The sequence below is a fragment of the Homo sapiens genome, chromosome 20, assembly GCF_000001405.40.
Source record: "Homo sapiens chromosome 20, GRCh38.p14 Primary Assembly".
Classification (NCBI taxonomy): domain Eukaryota; kingdom Metazoa; phylum Chordata; class Mammalia; order Primates; family Hominidae; genus Homo; species Homo sapiens.
Genome location: NC_000020.11, coordinates 36,009,932 through 36,036,697, shown reverse-complemented (window position 1 = coordinate 36,036,697; position 26,766 = coordinate 36,009,932). Strand labels below are relative to the sequence as shown.

At 46.4% G+C, this 26,766-nt stretch overlaps 1 protein-coding gene across 16 annotated transcripts in view; it reads right to left on the bottom strand.

Moving 5' to 3' along the window:
* Window positions 1–5,997: 5,997 nt before the first annotated feature.
* The window catches only part of CNBD2 (cyclic nucleotide binding domain containing 2), a 76,315-nt gene continuing 55,546 nt past the window's right edge, over window positions 5,998–26,766 (bottom strand). For 8 of the 16 annotated variants that reach the window (XM_047439921.1, XM_011528593.3, XM_011528590.3 and 5 more), the window contains 3 exons: window positions 25,441–25,561; window positions 12,927–13,096; window positions 5,998–6,341 (listed from right to left, as the gene is read on the bottom strand). In XM_047439921.1, the coding sequence (XP_047295877.1) occupies window positions 6,050–6,341; window positions 12,927–13,096; window positions 25,441–25,561 (583 nt within the window). In that variant the 3' untranslated portion in view covers window positions 5,998–6,049. Of the gene's footprint in view, window positions 6,342–12,926; window positions 13,097–14,632; window positions 14,937–24,098; window positions 24,140–25,440; window positions 25,562–26,766 lie in introns of those variants that run through there. The other 8 variants (NR_130714.2, XM_047439927.1, NM_001207076.3 and 5 more) reach the window with 5 other exon arrangements.

The window sequence follows — 26,766 nt, the reverse complement described above, 5'->3', positions numbered from 1 at the left end:
CATTTCACCCCTTAACTGGAAGGTAAGACTTTCCTAGGAGTTATATGAAAGGAATAGAAGACTTTTCTTTTTTCTTTTTTTTTTTCTTTTCTTTTCTTTTTTTTTTTTTTTTTGAGATGGAGTCTTGCTCTTGTCGCCCAGGCTGGGGTGCAGTGGCGCAATCTTGGCTCACTGCAACCTCTGCCTCCTGGGTTCAAGCGATTCTCCTGCCTCAGTCCCCCGAGTAGCTGGGGTTACAGGTGCCCGCCACCACACCAGCTAATTTTTTTTTATATTTTAATAGAGATGCGGTTTCACCATGTTGGCCAGGCTGGTCTCGCACTCCTGACCTTGTGATCCGCCCACCTCAGCCTCCCAAAGTGCTGGGATTACAGGCATGAGCCACCGCGCCCCACCGGAATAGAAGATTTAAACAATGCCTTTCTTCCAACCCCAAGTTGGGACCTTAAACACTACCTATAACAAACGCTGGTAATGTGTCCTGTGTTTATTTTTCAAGTGGGTTTTTTTTATTTTTCCCCCAAACAGTGGAAGCTTTTAGCACTAGGGGCTATATTTTTGGCTCAAGCAGCTTGGGCTTGCCTCTCTAAGTATGACTATGCTTATTTACATATGGAAAATAATTCCAGAGGGCAATTATATTCTCCCCAGCACAGTTTCAGGGCTGTGTGTGCAGACTTCCTTTTTTGAAAATAGGTGGCTCATTTGGGATAGATGAGTAACGGTGGTGTAACTGTCCACACACTTCAATGCTGATTAACTAGGAGGGTGCTGGGCTGTGGTTTTCCTGGATTTTCTGGAACCACCACCTGGTAGCTGAGTGAGCTTTGCCTTCGGGGCCTCAGGCTCCTCATCTCTCAAATGGATGCTGCCATCCAGTTAGCTGCCAGGAAATAGTTTCAGAGTAAGTGATGGCCTCTGTAGAGTGCCTCACATAATGCCTGGCACACACCAGGTACTCCATACCTGAGCCTGGGGCCCTCTCCCTGGCTTCTTAGGCATGGCAGATCACCCCGGGCTTCCGGGACCCTTGGATCTGTGCCTAGGTGGCAGTGAGGACCTCTGCAGCACTGAAAATGTCATTTGTTCCAAACACTTGTGCCAGGGGGTATCATATTTACTCCTTCTGAGTGAACTCCTCTCCCAGGTAAATGCTCATGTCATGTCTTCCACTGCCCACTGCCTGATTCTTTTTTCTTTCTTTTCCCTTTTTTTTGAGAGAGAGTTTCACTCTGTCACCCAGGCTGGAGTACAGTGGCATGATCATGGCTCACTGCAGCCTTGACCTCTTCGGCTCAAGTAATCCTCCCACCTCAGCTCCCTTAAGTAGCTTGGACTACAGGCATGCACCACCATGGATGGCTAATTTTTGTATTTTTTGTAGTGACAGGGTCTCACTATGTTTCCCAGGCTGGTCTTGAACTCCTGCCTCAGCCTCCCAAAGTGCTAGGATTACAGGCGTGAGCCAGCACACCCAGTATCCTGCCTGAATCTGATCCCATGTTATTGCATGTGTATGTATGTATGTGTGTATGTGTATGTGTGTATGTGTATGTGTGTCGTGTGTGTATATGTGTATTTATGTATATGTGTGTATATATGTGTATGTGTGTATATGTGTATGTGTATATGTGTGTATGCATGTGTATGTGTGTATATATGTGTGTATGTATATGTGTGTGTGTGTGTGCTGGGGAAAGGGAACCTTGAGAACCGGCGCTCATTCTGCAGCTCACAGCCTGGAAGCTAGGCTCACACACAAGTCCCACCTCCCCCTGCCCTACATTCCCCTCACTGTCCCACTCATTCTTTTTCCAAACAGTACCCCCCCCACACAGTGCTTGGTATGGTTTGCTGCCCTGTCTCCACTCTCCCCTGAGAGGCTGCCCGTTCATGTTCCCATGAGCTCCTTCACCTAGATAAGAGTGTGGGGGTTAGGCGAGAAGTCATTCAGGCTCCTCCTACCCCAATCCACTCAGTGATGGCCTTTATCACTGATTATGAGGGCTCAGACTTCCAAAGTCTCAGTTTCCTATTCCACTGAAGGGGGAAGAGAGTTTCTAGATGATCAAATTGACCTTGGTCTAAAAGACGTGAATGACACTTAGCGAGTGCTGAGCACTTACCATGCCAGGGACTTTACACCATATGCTGAATATAATAAGCATCTCTTGCTGCCCACTCCCTGCTTGGTTACTGGATTCAAAGAGACAGCAGTACTGCCTAATTCTATAATTCTATTCAAATGTTCACTTGGTTTCTCAAACAAATGCCAAAGAGGGACACATTCTCAATGCACAGAAAAGCACAGAGGACTCCTTGAAGTCCTCTTCAGACATTTCTCCTTCTCAAGTTCTTTTGTCACATAGTGGCTTCAGGAACTTTGCTCTTCCTCAGCTCCCCTCAAGACCTCCTGAAGCCCAGCCCAGAGTCTCTCTCCCTTCTCAGTACCCTCATCCTCAGTTGCTCTTCCAGGCTATTTTCTCACCCATTACTGCCCTAAAAAACATGTTCTGCCTGTTATTCTGGAAGCATTTTCTTTTTCTTTTTTTTTTTTTTGAGACGGAGTCTCACTCATCGCCCAGGCTGGAGTGCAGTGGTGCAATCTCGGATCAGTGCAAGCTCCACCTCCCAGGTTCACGCCATTCTCCTGCCTCAGCCTCCCAAGTAGCTGGAACTACAGGCGCCCGCCACCACGCCCAGCTAATTTTTTGTATTTTTAGTAGAGGCGGGGTTTCACCATGTTAGCCAGGATGGTCTTGATCTCCTGACCTCGTGATCCGCCCACCTCGGCCTCCCAAAGTGCTGGGATTACAGGCGTGAGCCACCGTGCCTGGCCGCATTTTCTTATTTCCCAGGAAGCAGGACCCAGAGATCTTGGTGAAAAAAATCTTCCACCTTGTTATACACATACCACCTCTTTTAATCCTCAACAGCCATTAAGTGGCAGAGCCTGCAGGTCACTGAACTCCACAGTCAGATGCTCAGCAAGGTGACTGTCACGTAATAAGTGCTCAACATGTGACCCCTTACATAAAGAGTTTGGGCTGGGCATAGTGGTTCACACCTGTAATCCTGGCATTTTGGGAGGCTGAGGCAGGAGGATCACTTGAGGCCAGGAGTTTGATACTAATCTGAACAGAACAGCAAGGCCCTGCCTCTACAAAAAAAAAAAAAAAAAAAAAAAAAATTAGTCGGGCATGGTAGTGCACACCTGTAATCCCAGCTACTTAAGAGGCTGAAGCAGGATGATCGCTTGAGCCCAGGAGTTTGAGGCTGTAGTGAGCTATGATCATGCCATTGCATTCTAGCCTGGGTGACAGAGACAGACCCTGTCTCAAAAATAAATTTAAAAACATAAAATTTAAAAGGAGTTTGGTGACCCCTAGCCAAGAAAATAAAAGGCAACAGAAAATGCATCTTATCCAACCTTTGACTCTCTCTGCAGTGCTCAATAAATAAATTTCAAGGCTGGGCACAGTGGCTCACGCCTATAATCCTAGCACTTTGGAAGTACCAAGACAGGTGGATTGCCTGAGCTCAGGAGTTTGAGACTAGCCTGGGCAACACAGCAAAACCCCATCTCTACTAAAAATACAAAAAATTAGCCAGGTCTGTAGCCAGGCCTGATGTCACACACCTGTAGTCCCAGCTACTTGAGAGCCTGAGACACGAGAATCGCTTGAATCCGGAAGGTTGCAGTGAGCTGAGATTGCACCACTGTGCTCCAGCCTGGGCGACAAAGCAAGACTCTCTCCAAAAATAAATAAATAAATAAATAAATTTCAAATGGATGAATAAGAAGCCCACACCATCATCTTGGAGCCACAGCCCTAAATGCAAAAGGATACCTAAATATGGTCAGACACCCCAACTTACTTGGTCCCAAAACAGTGACCCCTTGTCCTTGTAGGTCACAGTCAACCTTTCCAGGACTGCTGCAGATATCCCTGACTCCTTGATTCTGGAGCTATCAGGGAAGTGAAGATCTGTAAGTCCACTGCTTCTTTACCCTTTACGTCCACACCCCCTTCAGAGAGAAAAATTTCATACTTCTTTTCTGGTATGCAATATGAAAACGGCTTTCTTTTAAATTCAACAGAGTTCCAGTGTAGTGGCTCTGTATGAGTTTGTCCTCACATTGCTAATAAAGACATACCTGAGACTGGGTAGTTTATAAAGAAAAGAGGTTTAATTGACTCACAGTTTCGCATGGCTGGGAAGGCCTCAGGAAACTTAGAATCGTGGCAGAAGGGGAAACAAACAAATCCTTCTTCACATGGCAGCAGGAGAGAGAATGAGAGCTGAGCGAAGGGGAAAGCCCCTTATAAAACCATCAGATCTCGTGAGAACTCACTCACTATCATGAGAACAGTATGGGGAAACTGCCCCCATGATTCAATTATCTCCACCCGGTCCTGCCCTTCACACATGGGGATTATTACAATTCAAGATAAGATTTTGGGTGGGGACACAGCCAAATCGTATCAGGCTCATACCTGAAATCTCAGCACTTTGGGAGGCCAAGGTGAGAGGATCACTTTAGGCCAGGAGTTTGAGACCAGCCTGAGCAATTCAGTAAGACCCTGTCCCTACAAAAAAAAATTTTTAATTAGCCCTACGTGATGGTGCATACCTGTACTCCCAGCTACTTTGGAGGCTAAGGCAGGAGGATTGCTTGAGCCCAAGAGTTCGAGGCTGCAGTGAGCTATGATCGTGCCACTGCACTGCAGCCTGGGCAACAGAGCAAGACCCTGTCTCAAAATAAAAAATAAATTCAACAAACAAAACTATAATGTTGAATATGCTTTTCAAACTAGATCACCCCCATTCATGAAAGCCATTGATCTTGTCCAACTTGCTCATTTCACCACTGGGGAAACTGAGGTACAGATAAGGGAATCAAAGTGCTCAAGAGGGTCCAGTGAGACACAAGCACACCTGGGACTGCCAGAGCTCCTGGTGCCCAGCTCAACGCCCAGGCATTCCTCAGAGTCTATGCCTTGCCAGGGACAGGGTGGGGGACTTGGAAGCGGGCAGGCTCCTGTGCCGCCATGGCCTCCGCCAGGCTCCTCAGTGCTCTCAGGCTAACCTATGGGGTTCTCGAAGGGAAAGAGGTGTCTGGAGCTTGGTCTGTGGTGCTGAGGCTGCTGGAGACAGGAACCCTGAGTTGTAGGCCCAGATCAGTGTTGGGCAGCTCCAGATTAAAGACCCAGCAGAGAGAGTGAGGAGCCCTCTTTCGTTCAGACTCTGCAGCCTCCTTGTCTCCACCTCCTCTATCACAGCTACTCACTCCTCATCCTGGACCTGATGCCTGCTCCTGTCATGCTGTCCCATCAGCGTCTCTCTGGCTCCTGTACCCTCCTCCCAATCAGTCGCAGCCTCACTTCCACTCTCTGACAGGGACCCAGCCCACCACCTGCAGGCCCATGTGTGTTTTGTTTGACACTATTTGAAAACAATCTGAATTAGTTGCTCATGTTTAAAAACTGGTAGGAATCATCTAAAATATTGAATTTCTTGATTCTCTTGAAGAATCTACAGACTGACGATATGAGGCCCGAATTATTTTCTGACAGGGCAGCAACTGACTGGGCTAAGGGGCAGCTGCCCCATCTGGATGGGGAACTTACACAGTGGGCCCCAGCATCTCCACCATTCCCCGTTGCCTTCCCAGCCCTTCTGCTGCCCTCCTTTAGATGACCTGTGTGGCCTTGGAAGGCATTTGCAACCCTAGTCTTGACCACTTTGATTTGAGCCTCCCCCACATCCAGCTTATCAGACAAGACCCTCCTACCCTGAACCTATGCCCAATGATTAACCCGTCCACACACAGCCTCTGACCATCCATTCACTCAGCCCAGCCCTCAAGCATCAAGGGAGACTGTGCCCCCATTGCTGTCCCCCAAACACCTCTGTGGACCCACAGCTCAGCCCTCCAGGCCCCCTTCCTCCAAGTCCCACAGCTCCCATGGTGGTCATTCAGAAAGCACAGCGCCCAATCCACCATCCTTTATTTGTCCTAAATAAGGACCCCTGTGCTCTTACACTAAGCCAAGAGTTCTCGGATTTTGTACCGAGGTGCTTTGATGGCTTGGACAATCCTCAATGGGGGGAGGTATTTCTGGGGTGCCATAAAAATAGGATAACGAGGTTTAGTCGTCTTGTTGATGCTGCACAAATCCAGGACCACAGACTTAGGGTTGTAGATCTCTCTCTTCTTGGGCCGGTTTGGAGTGAACAGTTGACTTTGGCAAGGCTCCACGAGCAGCTGCAACAGGTCCTTCCGAAAGATATTCCAGCTGTTCTGCTGGAGGAACTTCTGGCACATATCTTCATCACTAAAGGGCAGGCACAGAAGCCGAGGTTCTCATGCCAGTCCCGCCCCTCCAGCCTTGCCTCCTGCCACTCTCCCCTCCCTAAGCATGTGGCGCTTCATTCTGCTTCTCTGACCCTCCCAGACTCTCCTTCTGCACCCTTTCCCTTTCCACAGTTTTCTTCCCTTAGGCCTGTGCTGTCTCATGTAGTAGCAATGGGCCACCTGTAGCTACTGAGTACCTGAAATGCAGCCAGTCTGAAATAGAGATGTGCTGTGAGTGTAAAATACACACCAGATTTCACAGACTTAGAACACAGAACTTAGAAAGTAAAATAGCTCCTTAATCATTTTATATTGATAAATGGATAAAGTGTGGTATATACATATTACATGATTCGGTTTACGTGAGATGTCCAGCACAGGCAGGTCTGTAGAGACAGGAGGTAGACTGGTGGCTGCCTTGGACTGGCCATGGTGGTCTGGCTCTGCCCTCCCCCTCACCTCATAGTAAGTGCGGCTGAGGAAGGTGGAAGAAGGACTGAGGCCTCCTGAGACCACAGCAAGGCAAGGTGGTATAAAGCTTCAACTAACTCACCTGTACTCTCTTACCTAAGCAGACAAGCTGAATACATCATTAACAAGTCAGAACATTCATTCTTCCAGCCAGATTATATCGACAAAGATAAAGTCAACTTTGATCCATAGAGATTGGCTTAAGAAAAAACTCAGAGGTCAGCATGGCTACAAGCTAGTCCTGTAGCATCAGCAATATGACAAAGCCAGCTGCCACCCGCTCATGAAAGCTGACCGTGTGCACCTCTTCTCAACTCCATGCTTGTGGCAGCAGGTTGGTAGTTTGAAACTGGCCATGGTGGGAGTATTTACACTATGGAAATCAGCAAACACTGCAAGCCAGGGTCCTCCTCCGGCATCTTGGAGAGCTGGTTGTTAAACATCCATGAGCACACTACTGGGTAGTCCTCACTTAAAAAGTTCCATTAACTCTCAATTTCTTACATAATAAATAACAACAACATCTCACTCAGACTTAGAACTTACCATGTGTCAAGCACTTTACATTTGTGAACTCATTTAATTTTCACAACCACTCCATTTCAGAAACATAGAAATTGGGGTGAGGCTAAGGGATTCACCAAAACCTAGGAGGGGGAAAGCATGTGATGACTAATTCTTAGGGGATAATTTTTTTTTAACCTAGATTCTAAGCTAGGACAGACAAGACTCCATGTCACTTCCTGATGCTGATGGTCACATTGATTTCTAGTCTACTTTTTCACTGAACAGGGTAGCCTCAGCTTCACACAGGGGTCTCAGTTCCAATCCCCTGTCTCACTTGAACTGAAAGCTGCATCTGTCCTTTCAGGCTTTAAAAAATCAACCCATGGCTGGGTGCGGTGGCTCATGCCTGTAATCCCAGCACTTTAGGAGACCAGGCGGGTGGATGACTTCAGATCAGGAGTTTGAGACTAGCCTGGCCAAGATGGTGAAACCCTGTCTCTACTAAAAATACAAAAATTAGCCAGGTGTGGTGGCACACGCCTGTAATCCCAGCTACTCAGGAGGCTGAGCCACAAGAATCACTTGAACCCAGTGGGGGGACATTGCAGTGACCTGAGATCACGAGACTGCACTCTAGCCTGGGCGACAGAGTGAGACTCCGTCCCAAAAAAAACCAGCCCGTGACGCCCTTAAGCCCTCCTGGGCAATCCCCAGCATTAGTTCATACTGTCTGTCTGTTTTGGGTGATCCTCTTCACTTTGGCCTTGGGGATTTCCTGACTTTCTTGTGGATGCAGCCATGCATTCTACCCCACATGGGCCGCCCTGTGCTCTGTAGGGGTGATTTTCAGGATAACCAGCCTGCGCTATTCACAGGACAGGTACCTCTGCCACCGGCTCTGTGATCTTCAGGATCTCAGAGTCTTCGGTTAAAACGTGAGGGATTTGAGCTAGATAATGGATATGTTTTCTGCCTGTTTTAGCAGTCTAGAAAGGCATGAGTTCAACGATTAATGAATAAGACAGAATTCTGTGGGTCAGCATTCTAGATGAGGGCCGCAAATGCTGACTGAGCAGGGCGGATGCTGAATGTTCCATCTGCCCCCACTCAACTCTATGTAAACCTTTTATGAATTTCCATTCAACAGATATTAACTGATCCCCATCATGTGCCAGGCAATATGCAAGGAGCTAAGGCTCCTTAAACCCTTTTTTGAGTGGCAGGTCTACATGGCCATTTCCTATATTGGTAATACCCAGGAATCAGAGAAGTGTGGCATCCTTGAACCAGAAGGAACCGCCAGTATTTTTCAGCTTGTTTTTCTCACAAGACTGCCCCAGTGTTGGCCTTATCTACATATCATCTGCTCTTTAAATTTATTAATGATTTTCCGGGCTGGGCACGGTGGCTCACACCTGTAATCCCAGCACTTTGGGAGGCCGAGGTGGGCGGATCACCTCAGGTTGGGAGTTCGAGACCAGCCTGGCCAACATGGTGAAACCCCATCTCTACTAAAAGTAGTCAGGTGTGGTGGCGGCGCCTGTAATCCCATCTACTTGGGAGGCTGAGGCAGAAGAATCACTTGAAGCCAGGAGGCAGAGTTTGCAGTGAGCCAAGATCACACCACTGCACTCCAGCCTGGGTGACAAAGCAAGACTCTGTCTAAAAAAAAAAAAAAAAATTACAAATGATTTTCCTTCAATCTGTTCAGTTCCTTTTACTTAAATATTTACTTTAACTTTGTCTTAAGCAACAAGATCTGTCAGATCACACAGTTAGTAAGTTAGTCATGCTGCTTTTTCTAATTCACATAAATAAATACATAAATGTTAAAACTAAAAACGTCAATCTGTGAGCCACCTAAAATCATCCTGTAACCCTCCTGTGGAATATGTTCATACTTTAAAAAATACTGATCTACTCTAATTTTCTTGTTTTGCTGATTGGAGTCAAAAGCCTAGAGAAGGTCATGAAGACCTCACACTGCTCAAGGTCATGAAGATCTCACGTCAGAGCCTTTTGTGTGCTTATTGGCCAGGGCTGGAATCACCTGCAGCTCTGTCTGCCTTCATACCCCCTTTCTCTACCATTGGAATCACTCGCTTCCCACACCTGCTGCCAAAACCGTATCTGACCACAATATCACCGCAAGTAAAGAAAATGTGTAAGAAGTATGAGCTCCATTATGAAAACAGAGTATGACAATAAAGGCATATTTGGCACATATTCACGAAGTGAATAAAACACTAAAAGGAAATACAGAAGATGCTAACTGGGATTGCTGGAAGACTGCAAATGATTTGGGTTTTGTCTTTTTTTGCTGTTCAGTGTTTTTCAATCTTCTGCAATGAGTATGGCCCATCACATTTAGTCAACATTTATTAAGCACCTTCTGCATGCTGGGCACTGTACAGGTGCTAGAGACCAAAGGCGGATAAAGCACAGCCTTGCCTTCCTGAAGCACTTAATCAGGTGGAAGGGAAAGAGCTGTGCAAACAGGTAACTGTATGACAACACGATACGGTCAATGACAGAGCTGTGTAGAGAATATTATGAGTGTGCAGAAAGGGGGTACTTATCCCAAACTGGGGTTAGTCTGAGGAGGTTTGCTGCAGAAGATGAATCTTAGAGAATGAGCAGGAATTTATCACAAAGGGTGGAGGCAGGACTGGGGTTAGCATTTCAGGCAAAAGGGCCAGCATTGGCAAAGGCAAGGTATGTGCAGCATCTAGCAGGCAACCCGCCTGGGCTGCTGGAGTGAGTTGGAGGTGGCAGGAGATGCTGGAGGGGACTTGAGTGGGGTGTCAGACTGTGGTGGGTCATTGAGGTAGCATTGAGTTTGGACTTTATCCTATAGGCAGTGAGATACCATTGAAAGGTTTCAAGCAGGAGTTTAACACAACTAGATTAGGGTTTTAACAAGAACACAGTGTGCAGAAAGAATCCAGCAGGCAGGAGACTGAAGGGGAGGAACCCGTGATAAGACTTGCGGGAGTCTAGCTTGGTGGTCCCGAAGTGGGGGTGGAGGCCAGGCGCGGTGGCTCATGCAATCCCAGCACTTTGGGAGGCCAAGGTGGGTGGATCCTTTGAGCTCAGGAGTTTGAGACCAGCCTGGGCAACATGGCAAAACCCCGTCTCTACCAAAAAATACAAAAAAATTAGCCAGGCATGGTGGCGCCTGCCTGTTGTCCCAGCTACTGGGGAGGCTGAGGTGGGAGGATCACTTGAGCCCGGGAGGCAGAGGTTGCAGTGAGTTGAGATTCAGCCACAGCATGCCAGCCTGGATGACAGAGTGAGACCCCATCTCTCACACACACACACAAAACAAAGCCGGGGTGGAGAGACATGTCACCCAGGGAGATGTACAAGATCCACTAGAGTATGTGAATAGTAGGATTTCATTTATATTTATCTTTCTCTTTTTCTTTTAAAAGATCAATTTTTATATGTTTATAATATATATTGGTACAGTAATATTATATGTGGATATAATAAAAACAAATTAACAGATGTTATTTATATTACATATACATACCAGGGAGTACATGCTTGAACACTTTTTAGTAATAGCAGTGTGAGATGGAAACAGTTTTGAGACCACTGGTCTGGGCAATAAATTAATTTTTACACTTAAAAAAGTTATTTGTTCCCATTATAAAAGCATTAACATTCACTCTAGAAAATTTGGACACTATGAAAAAGTAAAAAAAAAATTATCTAATCTTTCAAGATACATATTTATTTTTAATAATTATAAAAGTAAATCTCAGCATTTTGGAAGACCAAGGCAGGAGGACTGGTTCAAGACCAGCTTGGGCAACGTAATGAGACCCCCATCTCTACAAAAAAATTTTCAATTAGCTGAGCATTGTAGTGTACATTTATAGTTCCAGCTACTCAGGAGACTGAGGTGGGAGGATCCCTTGAGCCCAGAAGGTCAAGGCTACAGTGAGCCATGATTGTGCCACTGCACTCCAGCCTGGGGAACAGAGTGAGAACCTGCCTCAAAAAAATAAGTAAATAAAAATAAAATAAAACATGAGAGGAATATATAACCAGAAAGTCCCCTTTAGTCTCACCTCCCAGAGAAAACGACTCTTACCATAGGCATTGTCATTTTTGCTTATTTCCTTCTAGGTTTCTCTCGGGTAAGTGTTTTATAAAGGCATAGTCATAGCACATGTACAATTCTGTACCACCCTTTTCCAGTATCATTATATCACCCATTTTACCCTGCTGTTACAGAGCCATTAAGCTTACCATTTTTTAAATAAAACAATTATGTTCTATCAAGAGAATATACCACAATTTTATAAACTATCCCCTTAGTGTGGCACACATCAATGTTGTTGTCATTGTTTTTCTATTATGAATATGGCTGCTATGAACATCTTATTTATTTTTTATTATTATTATTTTTGTTTGAGACAGATTTCGCCCTTGTTGCCCAGGCTGGAGTGCAAAGGTGCAACCTTGGCTTACTGCAACCTTCACCTCCTGGGTTCAAGTGACTCTCCTGCCTCAGCCTCCTGAGTAGCTGGGAGTAAAGGTGCCCGCCACCACACCCGGTGGTGTGTTTAGTAGACTATGTTTACTAGAGACAGGGTTTCACCATGTTGGCCAGCTGGTCTTAAACTCCTGACCTCAGGTAATCCACCTGCCTCGGCCTCCCAAAGTGCTGGGATTACAGGCATGAGCCACCACGTCCAGCCTATTATTATTATTATTTTGAGATGGAATCTTGCTCTGCCACCCAGGCTGGAGTGCAATGGTGTAATTTTGGCTCACTTCAAACTCTGCCTCCCAGGTTCAAGTGATTCTCCTGTATCAGCCTCCCGAGTAGCTGGGATTACAGAGGCCCACTACCATGCCTGGCTAATTTTTGTATTTTTAGTAGAGGCAGGGTTTCACCATGTTGGCCAGCCTGGTCTCAAACTCCTGACCTCAGGTGATCCACTTGCCTTGGCCTCCCAAAGTGCTGGGATTACAGGAGTGAGCCACCACGCTCAGCCTTATTATTTTTTAACACACAGTTTCACTCTGTTACCCAGGCTGGAGTGCAGTGATGCCATCTCAGCTCACTGCAACCTCTGTCTCCCGGGTTCAAGCGATTCTCCTACCTCAGCCTCCTGAGTAGTTGGGATTACAGGCATGTGCCACCACGCCTGGCTAATTTTGGGTTTTTAGTAGAGATGGGGTTTTACTATGTTGGCCAGGTTGGTCTCAAACTCCTGACCTCAAGTGATCTGCCTGCCTCAGCTTCCCAAAGTGCTGGGATTATAGGCGTGAGCCATCGCACCCAACCCTGCAATGAACATCTTAATGCAGGGCTTTCTCCATATTTCGGCTCTATAAATTCACAGATGAATCTCTGTCTCAAAGTGTTGGGACAGTTTTATAGCACTTGAAATGTAATGCTAAAATTATTATCAAAAGGATTGAGCCTATCTAGAGTGTACCAACAACTCCCAGTTTCATTTCACCCTTGTCAGCAACAGGTATTATATTTTTCCTTCTTTTACTAAAATAACAGGTGAAAAATTGTTCATTTCACCTGATGGGACTTACGCACATTTCCAGTACTGACCTGGGGAATGCAATATTGAGCTTTAACAACTTTTTTATCATCTCGTCATCATTGTCAATCAGTTCATAAAATATTTCCTTCCTTATCCGTATCAACTCATTTCCCAGGCTCATCAGGATCAAGGGTCGTGTGTCGCATTCACCCTCTGGAAGGAAGGCCTGGTGAAGACCCTCGGGAGAAGTCACAGAAAGTTAGACCTCAGAGACTGGCCAGGTCTGCCCGCAGATTTTCATTCTTTTTTTTCTTTTATTTTTTTTTGAGACGGAGTTTCGCTGTTGTTGCCCAGGCTGGAGTGCAATGGCCCAAATCTCAGCTCACTGCAACCTCTGCCTCCCAGGTTCAAACGATTCTCCTGCCTCAGCCACCTGAGTAGCTGGGATTACAGGCATGCGCTACCTTTTGTATTTTGAGTAGAGATGGGGTTTCTCCATGTTGGTCAGGCTGGTCTCGAACTCCTGACCTCAGGTGATCTACCCGCCTCGGTCTCCCAAAGTGCTGGGATTACAGGCGTGAGCCACCGTGCCCAGCCTACCCACAGATTTTCTAGATGGGAAAAAGAAGGCCTCAAACAGGAGGTGAATTTATCTGGGATCACTGAGCAAATGACAGGCAGGAGAAATCCTGGGCCCCTTTTGCTACATCATATGGAATTCCTCTAACCGTGGAATTAGAAGAGCACCTAAATCAGATTACCCACTGTCCCACTCCAGCAATCTCACTGCCACTATTGCTCTCAAGTTTTCCCCAATGTCCAATTACAGCTTTTTGTTTTGTTTTGTTTTTGTTTTTGTTTTTGTCGAGCAAATCTCTTTTCTCTTCCTTAGGACTTACAACAAAAATCAAACAGCTAGGCACCAGGTGCAGTGGCTCACACCTGTAATCCCAGCACTTTGGGAGGCCCAGGCGGGTGGATCACTTGAGCCCAGGAGTTTGAGACCAGCCTGGGCAACATGGTGAAACCACATATCTACACAAATTATAAAAGTTAGCCAGATGTGATAGTGCATGCCTGTAGTCCCAGGCTGAGGTGGGAGGATTTCTTGAGCCCAGGAGGTAGAGGTTGCAGTGAGCCAAGATCGCGCCACTGCACTCCAGCCTGGGCAACAGAGCGAGAGACTATCCCAAAAAAGTAAAATAGGCCAGGTGTGGTGGCTCACACCTGTAATCCCAGCACTTTGGGAGGCTGAGGCAGGCTGATCACCTGAGGTCAGGAGTTTGAGACTAGCCTGGCCAACATGGTGAAACCCCACCTCTACTAATAATACAAAAATTAGGGCTGGGCGCAGTGGCTCATGCCTGTAATCCTAGAACTTTGGGAGGCTGAGGCGGGTGGATCACGAGATCAGGAGATCAAGACCATCCTGACGAACACGGTGAAAACCCGTCTCTACTAAAAATACAAAAAATTAGCCAGGCATGGTGGCACGTGCCTGTAGTTCCGGCTACTTGGGAGGCTAAGGCAGGAGAATTGCTTGAACCTGGGAGGCAGAGGTTGCAATGAGCCAAAATTGCGCCACTGCACTCCAGCCTGACGACAGAGCGAGACTCCATCTCAAAAAAAAAAAAAAAAAAAAAAGAAAAAAAAAAGAATTAGCCGGGCATGGTGATGGTGGCCGGTGCCTGTAATCCCAGCTACTTGGGAGGCTGAGGCAGGGGAATCATTTCAATCAGAGAGGTAGAGGTTGTGGTGAGCCAAGATTGTGCCACTGCACTCCAGCCTGGGTGACAGAGTGAAACTGTGACTCAAAAAAAAAAAAGTAAAATAAAAAATCAAACAGCCAGTCCTCTTCTGGACCTTATCTTTGCAGCCACCCACCCCACACTTTCCTGCAGGCCTCTGTTTCTCCTCCATCCCTCACAGACTTCGGTGGCCACAGGTCCTCCTCTCTCCAGCTGCCCTCCTGTTCCTTGGCTTGAATTCCTACTTTGTTCTATCTGGAAGGGAGATGGAAGTCCACAGGCATACTTGCTTCCGTGATGAAGGGTGCAATCCGCTTTTTAAGGAGACACCTGGGACAGGCAGAGCCAGGACTAGAATCCTTGTTGCTGAACTCCCAATCCAGTGCTCAGTCTTCAGCCTCTCAGCTGTTAATCAAGGCTCAGGCAAGGAGGGGCAGGGGCAGGAACGGTTAGTGGCCCCAGAGCCACCAATGCCAGCTGTATAGGGCTCAAGAAGAAAAAGGGCCACAAACCAAGAGGCCCACTCTGTGGAGGACACATGGGGTTGGGACTAATCCTGGATCCAAGTTGCTGTTGTTGAAGTACAATATACACATCTAATTTACCATCTTTACCATTTTTAAGCATACAGTTCACTGGAAATAAATACATGCATATTCTTTCTTTTCGTTCCCTCTCTTCCTCCCCATCCCAGCCTCTGGTAACCACCAATCTACTCCCTATCTTCATGAGATCCAGTTTTTAGGTCCCACATATGAGTGAGAACATACAATATTTGTCTTTCTGTGCTTGGCTTATTCCACTTAACATAACAGCCTCCAGTGCCATCCACGCTGCTGCAAATGACAGGATCTCATTCCTTTTTATGGCTGAATGATATTCCATTGTGTATATGTCCCACATTTTCCTTATCCATTCATCTGTTAACGGACACTTAGATTGATTCCATATTTTAAAATTGTACTTATGTGATTTGGGGCACACAGTACCTCCTGGGCCATTGCTCGCCTGTGAAATGCAGGTGAGAATATCTATCGACATGTCTCCGAAGGATTCTGAATTTGAAAGGAGATGTGAAGTGGGATCTGGAACACCCTCCCCACCTCCACCATTTGGGTTCTAGACCTTGAAATATGACCACGTACAAATTTTTGGGTGCTCTGAGCCCTGGCTTTGTCTCTCTTTGGCAAGACTGGGGTGGAGCTATGCCACCTTTCCTCTGAAGCTGCTGAGGGTCTACACGAGATGGCACATGTGAGAGTTCTCTGGGGGACATGAAGCACCTCGTGTGTCTCTCATGTTGAGTACAGTGGGAACAAAGGCCCTCCTAGTCAATGCCAGGACTTGCATAGAAACCAGAATGGCTGCTCTTTAGCCAGCTCCTACTCTGGAGAGGAAACATATATATATGAATTTACACCTTACAACCATCCTAGCATGTGGGGGTTATCCTCAGATGTGGAAAATGAGGTTCAGGAAAGGAAATTTACCTATCCACGGTCAATCATCTTATAATTACAATAGCAATGATGATGAAATGGTAATAATAGCACCAACAAACATTTATTGAGCACTCACTAAATTCCAGGCCCTTTTGTAGTTTTTGCATCTATAACCCATTTAACCCTCACCACAATCCAGTGAGCTGACTCCTATTCTTATTCTCATGTTACAGGTGAGGATGCTGAGGTTAAGAAAATTGTCCAACATCGGCCGGGCGCAGTGGCTCATGCCTGTAATCCCAGCACTTTGGGAGGCCGAGGTGGGCAGATCACGAGGTCAGGAGATCGAGACCATCCTGGCTAACATGGTGAAACCCCATCTCTATTAAAAATACAGAAAATTAGCCGGGCGTGGTGCGGGTGCTTGTAGTCCCAGCTACTTGGGAGGCTGAGGCAGGAGAATGGCATAAACTCGGGAGGCGGAGCTTGCAGTGTGCAAAGATCATGCCACTGCACTCCAGCCTGGGCGACACAGCGAGACTCCGTCTCAAGAAAAAAAAAAGAAAAAGAAAAGAAAAATTGTCTAACATCACACATCAGGAAAGCAATAAACCTAGGCTTTGAATCAGGTGGTCTGTCTTCAGAGTCTGTGCTTTCAGCAACTACAATGAGGAAACTGAGGCACAAACAGGTTAAGTAGCTTGCCCAAGGTAATGAGACATAAAGTGGCAGAGCCCAACCTTGAACCAGGGATCCACTCAGGAGCACTGCTGTCCTGCTTGCTCTCTCAGCCACCTCCAACCCACTTGCTGCATGCACACAGCTGGAGTCAGTTGCTTCTCTGGCTAGATGCTTCAAACAGCATCCCAAAGCACCTGGGATCAAATAAATCTCATGCCGCCTAAGGCCTGGGCTGTCTCACCCTTCCAAGCCCTCCATCTCAGCCTCATGTCACTGCTGCCTTGCTTAGTCTGTTCCAGCCACCCTGCCCTCCCTTCCAATCCCCCCAACACGCCTCCTCCCTCCTGCCTTGAACCTTGAACTTGCTGCTTGTCTGTCTTGAACACTTTTCTGCCAGGTCGTTCCATAGCTTATTCTTTTTTTTTTTTTTTTTTTTTTTCTTTTTTTGAGACAAGGTCTCACTCTGTCCCTAGGCTGGAGTGCAGTTGCATGATTTCAGCTCACTACAATCTCAGCCTCCTGGGCTCAAGGGATCCTCCTGCCTCAGCCTCCCGAGTAGCTGGGACTACAGGTGTGCACCACCACACCCGGCTAATTTTTGTTTTTGGTAGAGACGGGGTTTCATCATGTTGCCCAGGCTGGTCTCGAAATCCTGGCCTCAGCCATCCTCCTTCCTTGGCCTCCCAAAGTGCTGGGATTACAAGTGTGAGCCACTGTGCCCAGTCCCATAGCTTATTATTTTCATCATTCAGGTCTCAGCTTAAACATCACCTCCTCACAGCAGACTTCCCTTAGCTACCCCATTTAAGAACCTCCCCACCCACCCTGCTTTTCATTCCATTCCTAACAGCAATTTGTAACTTTCTATGTATTTACTAGTTATCTGTTTGTTGTCTGTCCTGACTAGATCATAAGCCCCATAAGGGCAGGAATTACGTCAGTCTACTCAGCCACAATGGCACTTTGTTCCATGCTTGGAGCATGGTAGGTGCTCAAGGAATATCTGCTGAATGAGTGACCCAAATGGAGCCACACAACTTTAGAGGTGGCAGCTCACCCAGATGAATCTCCTCATTTTCCCATGACATAGATTCAGAAAGGGAAAGTGATTTGCCCGTGGCCACACAGCTAACTATTAGAAGCAGAATGAAAATAAGAAATGCTGCTTGCCACCTCTCTTCTGCGCTGCCCATGGCTCTGGCCTGCCCAGTCTTGACCACCTCAGAGGCCTCAGCCTGCCTGTTCCTTGGAGAAGTTGGACTTCCTATATCTCCTGGCTCAAAACCTGGGTCCCTCCACCCTAGGCCCCACCCTCTGCTGCTCCCAGGGCTGACCCAGCTCCACACTGCTACTCCCAAGGGTGAGGACGATGTGACCCACCTTCCAGGGGGCGGGTTCAGTCAAGCAGTTACCACTCTCATTCTCCTACAGCTGAAGCCAGGGCCTCAACACAGGGAGCTCAGAGTCCTACCACAGGCACCTCACGAAGGCATCCGCAGACATTTTCTTCAAAGGGGTCATGTTAACAAATATTTGTTGAAGGCTTTCTATGTGCTGGCCCTATGTGGGAAGCAGCAGCCAGGTCCTTGTGCTAAGTCCCCACCCAAAGCCTTCCAGGACTTCTAGGAAATCAAGGCCTTACTCCCTGTTCCAGCATTGCAGGGCCTGGACAAAACAGACCCTGTTGTTCCTGTTCCTGACACAGCCTCCCCTCCTGTCACTGCCTACCAAACTGAGCAAGGCCTTTTCCATCCTCGTGCCTCCATCCTGCCCAGGCCTCCCTGTCCCTTAGTGCCCTGTGTTCATCTCTGAGCACCTTACTCTGAAACATTAATAAATTGAAGTGAAGCAGACACCACCTTCACTAACTCTAACAAAGACGTATAAATGTAAGATGTTAATAACAGGGGAAACTGGGCGTGGGGCATATGGGGACTCTCTGTACTATCTTCTCAATTTTTCTGTAAATCTAAAAACTGTTCTAAAAAATAAGACCACTAAAACAATGAATCCAGTAGTGGGGGCAGGGGGAGTGTGGGTGACCACGCTTGGCTGTGAGCTGATCACTATGGAGGCTGGGAGGCAGGTGACAGAGCTGAGTGGCAGGAGGAGCGGTGTGTGGGCGCAGAGGTGGGGCAGGCAGAAGGGCTTTCCAGGAGGAGCAATAGGCTGGAAGGCTGGAAATTACGCCCCTTGAAGAATGACCGAAGGAATGGAGGCCACTCTGCGTGAATATGAAAATAATTAACGGAACACTGGCACTGTGCCTGGCTACATAAATGTTGAATGAAAAACAAAACAGCATTCTTTAAATACCTAAGGGCATCACATGCTAAGGAAGTGGATTTCTTCTGTTTTGGGGAACAGGGCAGGGAGAGGAGAGGAGCTAGTTTAAAGTTGTAGGAGGCAATGTTTTACTAAACAAAAGGAAGAAATTTCTAAGAGCTAAAAAATAATCAGCATTGACAGAGGGCTGTGCTAGGGACTGGACCTCCCAGACAGTACTGGACTGACCTTCCCAGCCCTGAGGACATACAGGCTGGTGTGAGTGGAGGGAAGGAGCATGCACAGTCCACCATAACACAGGGGGAGAATGGCATAAGGACAACCTTGGAGATAGTGACAGAGGAACAGAGGAGAGGGCTTGGTGAGGGAACAGTTTCCCAGATGCTGAATAACCACACATGAGGCTTCAGGAGACAGCCCTCTGCAGGCACAGGGAGGCCGAAGGCCCATTGCTCCTCCTGAAATCCCTTCTCCTGCCCTACCTCTGCACCCGCACACTGCTCCTCCTCCTCTCATTCAGCTCTGGCACCTGCCACCCAGCTTCCATAGTGATCAGCTCATAGCCAAGCGTGGTCATCCATACTGCCCTCGCTCCCACAACTGCATTTTTTTTTTTTTTTTTTTGAGACAGGCTCTCATTCTATTGTTCAGATTGAAGTACAGTAACACAATCATGGCTCACTGCAGCCTCGACTTCACAGGGTCAAGCAATCCTCCCACCCCACCCTCCCAAGTAGCTGGGATCATAGGCAAATGTCACCATGCCCAGCTAACTTTTTAATTTTTTGTAGAGACAGGATTTCGCTTTGTTGCCCAAGCTGGTCTTGAACTCCTGGGCTTCAGCAGGTATGAGCCACCATGCCCAGCCTTGGATTCCTTTTTTTTTTTTTTTTTGAGACAGAGTCTTACTCTGTCACACAGGCTGGAGTGCAGTGGTGCAATCCTGGCTCACTGCAACCTCCACCTCCTGGGTTCAAGCGATTCTCCTGCCTCAGCTTCCCGAGTACCTGGGGTTACAGGTGTGTGCCACCACACCTGGCTAATTCTGTATTTTTAGTAGAGACAGGGTTTCACCATGTTGGCCAGGCTGGTCTCAAACTCCCAACCTCAGGTGATCCACCTGCCTCAGCCTCCCAAAGTGCTGGGATTACAGGCATGAACCACTGTGCCCGGCCTGGTGGTCTTATTTTCTAAAACAGTTTTAGATTTACAGGAAAATTGAGAAGATAGTACAGAGAGTCCCCATATACCCCACATCCAGTTTCCCACATCTTACATTGGTATGTCTTTGTTACAATTAGTGAACCTCTACTGCTACATTACTGTTAGCTAAAGTCAATGAGTTGCTTAGATTTCCTGTTTCACCTAATGCCCTTTTTCTATTCCACTATCTTATCCAGGATACAACATTACATTTAATAATAGGGCTCTTTAGGCTCCTCTTGGCTGTGGCATTTTCTCAGGCCATTTTTGATGACCTTGGCAGTTTTGAGGGTACTCATTGAGTATTTTGTGGGATGCCACAGTTAAAATTTGTCTCATGATTTTCCTCTAATCACGTCTCATGATTAGACAGGAGTTATAAGATATTGAGAGGATGGCCACAGAGGTTAAATGACATTTTCATCACATCCTGTCAAGGGACAATACTATTAACATGATGTTTTACTGTTGATGTTGGCCTTGATGATCTGGCTGTGTTTTTCAGATTTTTTCCATTGTAAAGTTACTTCATTCCCCCCTTGCCATACTGTACTCTTTGGAAGGAAGTCCTATGCATGGCCCACATTTAAGTAGAGAGTTAGGCACTCTCTCCTTTAAGACAGAGTATCTACATAAATTGCTTGAAATTTATTCTGCAGGGAGATTTGTCTCTTCTCCTCCATTTATTAATTCATTATTAATTCATTTATATCAATATGCACTCATGAATGTTTATTTTGTACTTTTGGTTATAATCCAACACTGCTTTATTTTGTTGTTCAAATTGTTTCAGCTTTGACCATTGGGAGATCTTTTAGGTGGCCCCCATATGTCCCTTGGACATGCTCCCATATTAAAGCAGTTCCTGCCCCCTCCCCTAGCTCTTCCTTACTTTCTGGCATTTACAATATGTTCTAGACTCATCCTGTGTATTTCCTGCCCTAGTCCTAGATTCAACCATTCTTCCAAAGAGCCCTTGTTCCTTTTATTGGGAAACTGTATTAGAAATCATGATCTGGTTTCTTGACATTGGCCTGGGCAATGGTTTTTTTTGGGGTATGACCCCAAAAACACAGGCAACAAAAGCAAAAATAGACAAATGAGATTGCATCAAACTAAAAAGCTCCTGCATAGCAAAGGAAACAACCAACAAAGTAAAAAGACAACCTAAAGAATGGTAGAAAATATTTGCAAGCCGTACATCTGATAAGGGGATAATAACTAAAATGTATAATGAACTTAAACAACACAGTCTCAAGAAATCAAACAGCCTGGTTAAGAAGTGGGCAAAAACTCTGAATAGACATTTCTCAAAGGAAGACATACAAATGACCAACAGGTATATGAAAAAAATGCTCAACATCATTGATCATCATGGAAATACAAATTGAAAATCCAATGAGATGTTGAGTCATACCTGTTAAAATGGTTACTATCAAAAAGACAAAATATGACAAATGTTGGCAAAGATTTGCAAAAAAGGGAACCCTCACACACTATTGGTGGGAATATAAATTAGTACAGCCATCATGAAAAACAGTATGGAGGCCAGGCACGATGGTTCACGCCTGTAATCCCAGCCCTTTGGGAGGCCAAGGTGGGAGTATTGCTTGAGGCCAGGAGTTCCAGACCAGCCTGGGCAACATAGTGAGACCCTGTCTCTAACGAAAAATAAAAAAAATTAGTTGGGCATGGCAGCACACACCTGTAGTCTCAGCTATTCAGAATACTGAGGTGAGAGGATTGGTTGGGCCCAGGAGTTCAAGGCTGCAGTGACCCATGATCACTTGCCACTGCACTCCAGCCTGAGTGACAGAGCAAGACCCTGTCTCTTAAAAAAAAAATAAAAGAGGCCAGGTCCAGTGGCTCATGCCTGTAATCCCAGCACTTTGGTAGGCCGAGGTGGGTGGACCATGAGGTCAGGAGTTCCAGACCAGCCTGGCCAACATGGTGAAACCCCGTCTCTACTAAAAATACAAAAAGTTAGTCAGGCATGGCGGCGTGTGCCTGTAATGCCAGCTACTCAGGAGGCAGAGGCAGGAGAATCACTTGAACCCAGGAGGCAGAGGTCACAGTGAGCCGAGATGGCGCCACTGCACTCCAGCCTGGGTGACAGAGAAAGACTCTGTCAAAAAAAAAAAAAAGAAAGAAAGAAAGAAAAGAAACCAACCAAGATCCAAGTGTTAAGTGTGCTCATTGCTGGAAGGGTAACATTTCTTTTAGGCCCTATTATCTGACAGAGCAAAACAGTTGTATGTTTCCACCCATACCTATACATATTTCCTTTTTTTTTTTTTGAGATGGAGTCTTGCTCTGTCACCTAGGCTGGAGTGCAGTGGCACAATCTCAGCTCACTGCAAGCTCTGCCTCCCGGGTTCCCGCCATTCTCCTGCCTCAGCCTCCTGAGTAGCTGGGATTACAGGTGCCTGCCACCACGCCCGGCTAATTTTTTTTGTACTTTTAGTAGAGACGGGGTTTCACTGTGTTAGCCAGGATGGTCTCGATCTCCTGACCTCGTGATCCGCCCTCCTCGGCCTCCCAAAGTGCTGGGATTACAGGCGTGAGCCACCACACCTGGCCTACCTATACATATTTCTATACATAATTATCTGTAAGTATATATTGAGTTAAATTTCAGTGACTACTGATGTTTTCAACTCTAATCCATTACTACATGGAGTATTCTAGGCTCCCCCTGCTTTCTATATATTCCTGCTTAAATTGTGAAAAACCTGGCTCCCACCCTCTGCCATCCATTTACTGAACTGATTTATTTCAGTGTTAACACTGTGTACATGTATAGTAGTAGAAGTATTGTTAATCCCTACCTTCATGACAAACAGCTTTATCACTAGGGCACAGTGCTCAGACACAGTTCCTTTTGCTTTAGTCTTACCAGTTCCACTCATTTCCAAAGTTACTTAAGTCAGCATCTTTTCCCCCCAACTCCTTCACAGAGATTGTTTCATACATTTATAATGGTTAGATTATCTTGTCATAGTTTGTATTCCTTCCTCAGATCCACTAACCTCCTAGATGATTTTTTTCTTTTTTCTTTTTTTGAGATGGAGTCTCGCTCTGTTGCCCAGGCTGGAGTGCAGTGGCGCGATCTCTGCTCACTGCAAGCTCCAACTCCCGGGTTCAAGCAACTCTTCTGCCTCAGCCTCCCGAGTAGCTGGAACTAAAGGCACCCACCACCACACCTGGCTAATTTTTTGTATTTTTAGTAGAGACGCGGTTTCATCATGTTAGCCAGGATGGTCTCAATCTCCTGATCTCGTGATCCACCTGCCTCGTACTCCCAAAGTGCTGGGATTACAGGCGTGAGCCACTATGCCTGGCTGATTTTTTTTCTTTTTTAACAAATTGCATACATTAAGATTCACTCTTTGTGCTGTAAAATTAAATAGGTTTTGACAAATGCTTTTGTATCCACCATTACAGTACCATAGAGAATAATTTTACTGCCCTAAAAGTCCCCTGTGCTTCACCTATTCATCCCATCTCCTGAACTCCAAACCTCTTGCAACCACTGATAATTTTACTATCTCTATAGTGTTTTTCTTTTCCAGAATGTCATAGAATTGGAATCATGCAATATTTAGCCTTTTCATAATGGATTTCTTAGAAATTGAATTCTTTTTTTTTTTTTTTTTTGAGACGGATTTTCACTCTTGTTGCCCAGGCTGGAGTGCAATGGCGCGATCTCAGCTCACTGCAACCTCCGCCTCCTAGGTTCAAGCAATTCTCCTGACACAGCCTCCCGAGTAGCTGGGATTACAGGTGTCCACCATGCCTGGCTAATTTTGCATTTTTAGTAGAGACAGGGTTTCTCCATGTTGGTCAGGCTGGTCTCGAACTCCCAACCTCAGGTGGCCTCCCAAAGTGTTGGGATTACAGGCGTGAGCCACGATGCCTGGCCTAGAAATTGAATTTTTTAGAAATTAGATTCTATAAAAATATTAGGTAATTTATGTATTTGTTATTAATTTTTTTTTTTTTGAGATGGAGTTTCGCTCTTGTCACCCAAGAGGAGTGCAGTGGCACAATCTCGGCTCACTTCAACCTCTGCCTCCTGAGTTCAAGCAATTCTTGTGCCTCAGCCTCCCAAATAGCTGGGATTTCAGGTGCCTGCCACCATACCTGGCTTTTTGGTTTGGGTTTTGGTTTTTTTTTTTGGAGACGGAGTTTCACTCTTGTCCCCCAGGCTTTAGTGCAACGTCACTATCTCAGCTCACTGCAACCTCCGCCTCCCAGGTTCAAGTGATTCTCTTGCCTCAGCCTCCCGAGTAGCTGGGATTACAGGTGTGTGCCACCATGCCTGGCTAATTTTTGTATTATTAGTAGAGATGGGGTTTCACCATGTTGGCCAGTCTGGTCTTGAACTCCTGACCTCAAGTGATCCAACCTGCCTCAGGCTCCCAAAGTGCTGGGATTACAGGCGTGAGCCACCATGCCTGGCCCCAGCTAATTTTTGTATTTTTAGCAGAGATGGAATTTCACCATGTTGGCCAGACTGGTCTCGAACTCCTGACCTCAAGTGATTCGCCCGCTTCAGCCTCCCAAAGTGCTGGGGCTACTGTGCCCAGCTGGTATTGTGTTTTTAAATGTCAAATTTCAATTGTTCATTGCTGGTATAAGGAAAGCAATGGACTCTCTATATTAATTTTGTATCCTGTGACCTTGCTATAATCTCATTAGTTTCAGGAGGTTTTTCTTTTTAAAAAAATTGTTTGGAATTATCTACATAGACAATAATGTTATCTGCAAACAAAGATAGTTTTATTTCTTACTTCCCAATCTGTATACCTTTTATTTCCTTTTCTTGAATGGACTAGCTAGGACTTTCAATACAATGTTGAATAGGAGTGGTAAGAGGGAACATCTTTGCCTTGTTCCTGGATTCAGCTGGGATTACAGGCGTACACCACCATGCCCAGCTAATTTTTGTATTTTTAGTAGAGACAGGGTTTCACCATGTTGGTCAGGCTGGTCTCAAACTCCTGACCTTGTGATCTGCCCACCTCGGCCTCTCATAGTGCTGGGATTACAGGTGTGAGCCACCGCGCCCGGCCTATTCTTATCACATCTTTACAAATCAACATAATTCCTTAATATCAAATATGGAGGGAAGTGTTTTTAAACCTTTACTGTCATTACTTAACATTCCAGCCCATTCATGTTACGTACTCCATGGTGAACAGAGCTCTTGGCACACTCACCAAAATTTCTCCCTGCTCCACAGTGTGCACCTTCACGTAGGCCCCCACTGCAGCCTCCTTGGGGAGCTCACCAGGCTTGATATTGATCATGGCACATTTGATCGACTGAGCAGGCCTGGATCTGAAATGTGACAGCTTGTTAGAGAGCTCATCTGTAACACAGTCTGCTCCTGAGGCCCTGGCTAATCAGCCCTCACTCTTCTGCACATGGAGGGCTCCCCTCCCTGGGGAATTCACAACTTCCCAGAAGGCGAGAAAACTCAAAATCAAGCCCTGACTCCCATTGTCAGGAATTGGAGGGTGCGAAAGAGGAGACTTGGGAGAGGAAGGTGATACAGGCCCTCCCCTTAAACACCTGAGGGCTGTTCTCCTGGAGGCAGGGGCTGATGATCCCATGCAGCCAAGCCAGGCCTAATGGGTGGGAAGTCCAGGCTGGCCCTCTCATGCTCAGCATGAGGAAGGAATTTCTTTCTTTTTTTTTTTCTTTTTTTTCTTTGAGACGGAGTCTCACTCTGTCGCCAGGCTCGAGTGCACTGATGGGATCTCTGCTCACTGCAACCTCCACTTCTGGAGTTCAAGTGATACTCATGCCTCAGCCTCCCAAGTAGCAGGGACTACAGGCACCCACCACCATGCCCAGCTAATTTTTAGCAGAGACAGGGTTTCACAATGTTGCCCAGGCTGGTCTCAAACTCCTGGCCTCAAGTGATCCACCCGCTTTGGCCTCCCAGAGTGCTGGGATTATAGGCGTAAGCCACTGCGCCCAGCCAAGAGGAAGGAATTTCTTTTCTTTTCTTTTTTTTTTTTTTTTTTGAGACAGAGTTTTGCTCTTGTCGCCCAGGCTGGAGTGCAGTGGCACAATCTTGGCTCACTGCAACCTAGATTCTTCAGAAGGATTATCCATAACGTCTCAAAAGTCACAGGGTGCTCGTTATGGAGGCCAGGAGCTTGGAAATGTTAACAGGCAAAGGACTCACGTGAAGTGGCCCTTGTAGGAATGCAGGGATTGTGACACTGGTGCCATTGTTAGTCTCATTATGACACTTCAATTTCAAAAGTAGCAGGGGGAGGGGGCTGTGCTGCTCTGGGCCCAGCAATGAGCTGATTCTAGGCTGGTCCCCACTGAGTCTCCTCTTCTGCTCTTCAGTCTCTCCAGAAAAAACAAAAGCACAGCACCCCAATGTGCATCTGCCTCATACCAGTCGTGACAATCATACCGATAACAACACTGAGCTGCTCAGGTTTGAATCCTGGCTCTGCCACTTTCTACCTGCGCAACCTGGAACAAACAACTCAATCTCTCCCCGTACCTTGGTTTTCTCACCT